General features: G+C 49.8%; 4 annotated features.

Annotated features, from left to right (window-relative positions):
* Nucleotides 627-1,126: an enhancer, noted in NCBI's record as "H3K4me1 hESC enhancer chr2:113451927-113452426 (GRCh37/hg19 assembly coordinates)". NCBI's record gives its function as "activates a minimal SCP1, AML or CMV promoter by ChIP-STARR-seq in primed H9 embryonic stem cells {active_cell/tissue: H9 hESC(primed)}" and the evidence as "EXISTENCE:reporter gene assay evidence [ECO:0000049][PMID:30033119]".
* Nucleotides 2,244-3,443: an enhancer, noted in NCBI's record as "CDK7 strongly-dependent group 2 enhancer chr2:113449610-113450809 (GRCh37/hg19 assembly coordinates)". NCBI's record gives its function as "activates an origin of replication core promoter dependent on BRD2, BRD4, P300/CBP, MED14 and CDK7 cofactors, with strong dependence on CDK7, by STARR-seq in HCT116 cells {active_cell/tissue: HCT116}" and the evidence as "EXISTENCE:reporter gene assay evidence [ECO:0000049][PMID:35650434]".
* Nucleotides 2,586-2,825: an enhancer, noted in NCBI's record as "active region_16396". NCBI's record gives its function as "activates an Ori minimal core promoter by ATAC-STARR-seq in GM12878 lymphoblastoid cells {active_cell/tissue: GM12878}" and the evidence as "EXISTENCE:reporter gene assay evidence [ECO:0000049][PMID:35858748]".
* Nucleotides 4,176-4,362: a silencer, noted in NCBI's record as "fragment chr2:113448691-113448877 (GRCh37/hg19 assembly coordinates)". NCBI's record gives its function as "represses an EF-1alpha promoter that drives an FKBP-Casp9 reporter gene in an ReSE screen in K562 erythroleukemia cells {active_cell/tissue: K562}" and the evidence as "EXISTENCE:reporter gene assay evidence [ECO:0000049][PMID:32094911]".

The following is a 4,646-nucleotide window of genomic DNA, read 5'->3' as shown; positions in this document are numbered from 1 at the left end:
TGCCCAGGAGTTCAAGGCTTCAGTGTGCTATGACGGCTCCGCTGCACTCGGCCTGGGCCACGGTGAGACCCTGTTTCTAAAAAAAATTAAAAATTAAAATTAAAATACATTCCCCCCAGCAGTGCACAAGGATTCCAATTTCTCCACATTGCATCTATTATTTTTATAACTAAAACTGTATTGTATTTTTAAAATCTCACTCTTTTGACTTCGATAAGTTCTCTAAGTTGTACCTCTCATTAACATTATGTTTATATTACAAATTCTGAGAGAGCAGGGATCTTCGAAGGGTGGATCACTTGAGGTCAGGGGTTTGAGACCATCCTGGCCAACATGGTGAAACCTCATCTCTACTAAAAATACAAAACTTAGCCAGGTGTGGTGGCGCGCCCTGTAATCCCAGCTACTGGGGAGGCTGAGGCAGGAGAATTGCTTGAGCCCGGGAGGCGAAGGCTGCAGTGAGCCGAGATCGCACCACTGCACTCCAGCCTGGGTGACAGAGCGAGACTCCGTCTCAAAAAAAAAAAAAAAAAAATCATCCTGGCATGGTGGTAGGTGTCTGTAATTCCAGCTACTTGGGAATCTGAGGCAGGAAAATCGCTTGAACCCAGAAAGTGGAGGTTGCAGTGAGCTGAGATCGAGCCACTGCATTCCAGCCTGGGCGACCATAGAGCGAGACTCCGTCTCAATCAATCAATCAATCAAATAAATAAATAGATAAATAAATAAATGCATTAACCATTTGTTTAAAATCAGTGGAGGCCTTCCAGGAGGAGGAAAGAACCAGTAAACCCTAAAAGCTTAGGTGCCTTCTGAACATGACAGCCTGGGGACAGCCGCTCACGCTCAGCCCATGGCCATGCTCCCCTCACATTCACAACGTGTCCTAGTCCCTGTCAGGGCAGGCACTGAGAGGTGATGATGTGGGGTCTACTGAAGGCCTCACGGGCATTCCAATGTCTAGAACACGGTTTCATTTGAAAACTTCTGGGTGTACAAAACCCAGCACCCACCTCCCGCACCCATCCCACCCCAACTGGCAGCAGCCTAGGGTCTAAAGAGTTCAGAAAGGGCCCTGCATGGGGGCTGACCTGAAGCCAGGTGGATTTCCAATGATGGCTGGGCCAGATGCCTTGTTAAGTAGGACACCGTGGGCAGCGCGCGGTGGCTCATGCCTGTGATCCCAGCACCTAGGGAGGCCAAGGTGGCGGATCACTTGAGATCAGGAGTTCGAGACCAGCCTGACGAACATAGCGAAACCCTGACTCTACTAAAAATACAAAAATTAGCTCGGTGTGGTGGCACCTGCCTGTAATCCCAGCTACTCAGGAGGCTGAGGCAGGAGAACTGCTTGAACCCAGGAGACGGAGCTTGCAGTGAGCCGAGATCGCACCATTGCCCCCCACCCTGGGTGACAGAGGGAGATTCCATCTCAAAAAAAAAAAAAAAAATAGGACACTCTGTCTGCCCTTTTTGGTGACATGAGTCTTTCAGAGCATGAGCAGTTCTCTCCTGGGACCATCTCATTTATCTATTTACCTGCTACCAATTTTAGCGCCAGGTTTGCTCTCACTCTATGCAGCAACTACAGATGTACAGCAACGGGCACCTCTGCGCCTGCTCCGCTTTCCTGCCTCGTTTCCATGAAGACATGGCTGGGGGCTTTGGGGACAGGGAGGTGTGTGTAAGGGGTGCCTGGGAAGCGCAGGGCGGAGCAGGAATGCTGGCACTCCACTCCTTTCCTGCCCCTCCAGCCTCACTTCCGGGTCATTCCTTCCCTCGCCCACTTTGACCCATTCTCCAGACAGCAGGAGAGACCTGATGTGGATGAGAGAATTGGTGTTTAGAAAAATCAAACACCTTGCTTAAGGTGGCTCAGTAGTAAATTGGAAACCGGGCCTCAAATTCAGATTTTCTGATTTGTTTTTCTTCTTCTGGAGCCAGCAGGCCGGTGTCTCATCCTCTTACTGCTTGGTCTTTGCTGGGTCTGAGTTATGAACAAATCCAAATGATAGTGCCTGGATTTTAATGGGGTCACAATTTAAATATTTTCATCTTCTCAAGGGATCTAAAGATCCTATATTAACCCAGGCTGGTAAAATAGCTAGTGCTAAGTAGGGAGAACTTTCTGGAACTCTCAAATTGCAGCATCTTGGTGTTCAGTAGCTGAACCATCAAGCCCAGGTCCATGCACTCATTCCCTTCCTTAGCGCCCCTGCCCACTCTGCCAGTGACTCATCCTCCCACACCTTCCCTCTTCTCTCCTGTGCCCATTTGCTCCCCAACCAGCTTTGCCACACCAGGGCTCTCCTGCCTGCCCTCAGGGTGACAAGAGGCAGAAGTCACAGGACTGGGGAGAAACTGACCCCAATTACTGAGGATGAAATGGTTCCAGCATCTCAGTGAGGCATCTCATTGAGGTGAGACAGGGCTTTGGAGGGACAATGAAGGTGTACTTGGGTTGGGGGATGCAGAGCTTTAGCTGGCTCTGGTTGCAGCTCCCAGGTGGGCATGGAAGTGAGGGAGGTATGGGATGGGTCAAGGGGGTCTCTACCTAACAGGAAGCCAGAATGGTGGAGGGGCTGGGAGGACAGCACAGGAGGAGTACAGACCACACTGGACCAAGGCAGGAGAAGCTGGGCAGATATGGGCCCTGAGGAGTAGGGAGGGAGTTGCTGTTGTTACAGTTGCCGCCTGGCTGCAGAAGCCAGAGGTCAAGTTCAGGCATGCTGGTTTCTAGGGAGATGAGCTCATGAGCTCTGATGCTCACTCCGCAGGAACCTCCAGCATGAGTCAGCATCAGCTAGGTTTCTCTGGTTCTAGCCTCACTCCTCGCAGCAGTCAAAGTCCAGGAGAGAGGATGTGGTTGGCCCAGATAGAGTCACACGCCCTGGCAATCTGGCGGGTGAGGGATGCTTCCCCTGAGGAGGCACCTGACCTGGACAGGTGACTCCCTGGAAGGAGGTGGGGCTGCTGCATCTGGGAAAAGGAGTAAATGCTGAGAGGTAAGATGACTAAAAATCATTCCAGTCCGATAGTGAAAGGACTGGCCTTTGAATCCATCCCTAAACTTGAGGATTTGATTTGCTCAGTGGCTTTAAAAATATCTAAAAGATATTGTGTCAAATTGCCAAACAACTCCCAGGCACTTCCTCTGCCTTAGCCATTTCTGGGGCTTTCATCAAGTCTATAGCTCCAGGTAATGGTCCAGCTGCTGATCCTTGTGGAATGAGACATGCGAAGCTCTGTGTATGAGTTACTGTTTGGGTTGTGACATTTCTCACTGCAGATTTCCTGCCAAGCCTCACTCCCAGGTTCTACATCCACCCACGAGGCATATAGAGACTTCTCTGGAAGCAGGCGCTGGGAGGCCCATCCAGCCCACTGTGACTTCACACCCAGGAGTGTTAAAAACTAGAATTCTCCTCCAGCTGGGCTAAGCAACATCCCTACTTAACACAGACGAGTAATACACATGCACCAGGGTGCAGTACTGTTTCAGTTACTAAAGGCTCCCAACAACCTAATGGCCATCAGGGGAAGATGTACTAAATAAATCATGGTGAGCCATCTAGCATGCTTCCAGGAAAAAAAAAAAAAAAAGAAGAAATCATGGTTCATTCACTGTTCAGCCATCTAACATAATAAGGCAGCACTCTGTATGAAAATGGAGTGATCCCTTATCTGTGCTGTTCAAAGTAAGGTGCCAAACATTGGGCAGACTACGACATCCCTTGTGTAAAAACTGCACACATATTTTAGGCCTGCTCATATGTATATGAGCACACATATAAAGCCGAAGTGTTCAGTTTCCCCACCACCCTCTAAGGAATCAGGGAACTCCACAAGGCAGTAGAAAAAGCAGACGGTAGGATGGAGAGTCAAGGAGAGAGGGGACCTAAGAGAAAGAGAGAGGAAGACACTTGGGGGTCAGAGAAAAAACAGTTTTTTTAGGAAGCTTTGTAGGGTGGTATTGTAGAAGGCAATTTTCATTCTTTCGAGCCACCCAGCGTCTGATCCTCTGTCTGTTAAAGGAACCCCGTCTTCAGAAGGCAGAATTCCCTTCACAGCAGAAGCTGAAAATGCCAGAGACTCATGTCCTCAGTTTTCCTTGCAGGGAGGGTTGGGACTCGTGACTCCACCAATCAAATGTACTCACCCTGTGTCTGAATCAGAAATTAGTCACATGAGCCTGGGCAACATGGTGAGAAACCGTCTCCACAGTAAAATACAAAAATTAGCTGGGCGTGGTGGTGCGTGCCTGTGGTCCCAGCTACTTGGGAGGCTGAGGTGGGAGGATTGCCTGAGCCTGGGAGGTTGAGGCTACAGTGAGCCGAGACCCTGTCTCAAAAAAAGAAAGAAAAAGAAATTAGTCACATGAGGCACTCTGTAAAACCCACTCAGTCCATGAGGTGGCAGTGGTGGCAATACCTCCAGTCTCCTGGGTGGCAGTTGGAGCGGTCCACGCAGCCAGCAACCAGGACCCAGAGTGGGTGTCGTGGTGTTGCAAGCTGCAGCCACCAGTGCCTATGTCTGTGGTCATATTCTAACCAGACCAATCTGCCACATGATTCTGGGGGTTGGTCTCGTCTGCAGAGCCTCCTAGCTGTGAGTTATCCAGAGATTCTATGAGCACCAGTATTGTC

Source organism: Homo sapiens, chromosome 2, assembly GCF_000001405.40.
Source record: "Homo sapiens chromosome 2, GRCh38.p14 Primary Assembly".
Taxonomy (NCBI): domain Eukaryota; kingdom Metazoa; phylum Chordata; class Mammalia; order Primates; family Hominidae; genus Homo; species Homo sapiens.
Note: the sequence above shows the minus strand (reverse complement) of the source record. Positions and strands in the feature narration are given on the sequence as shown.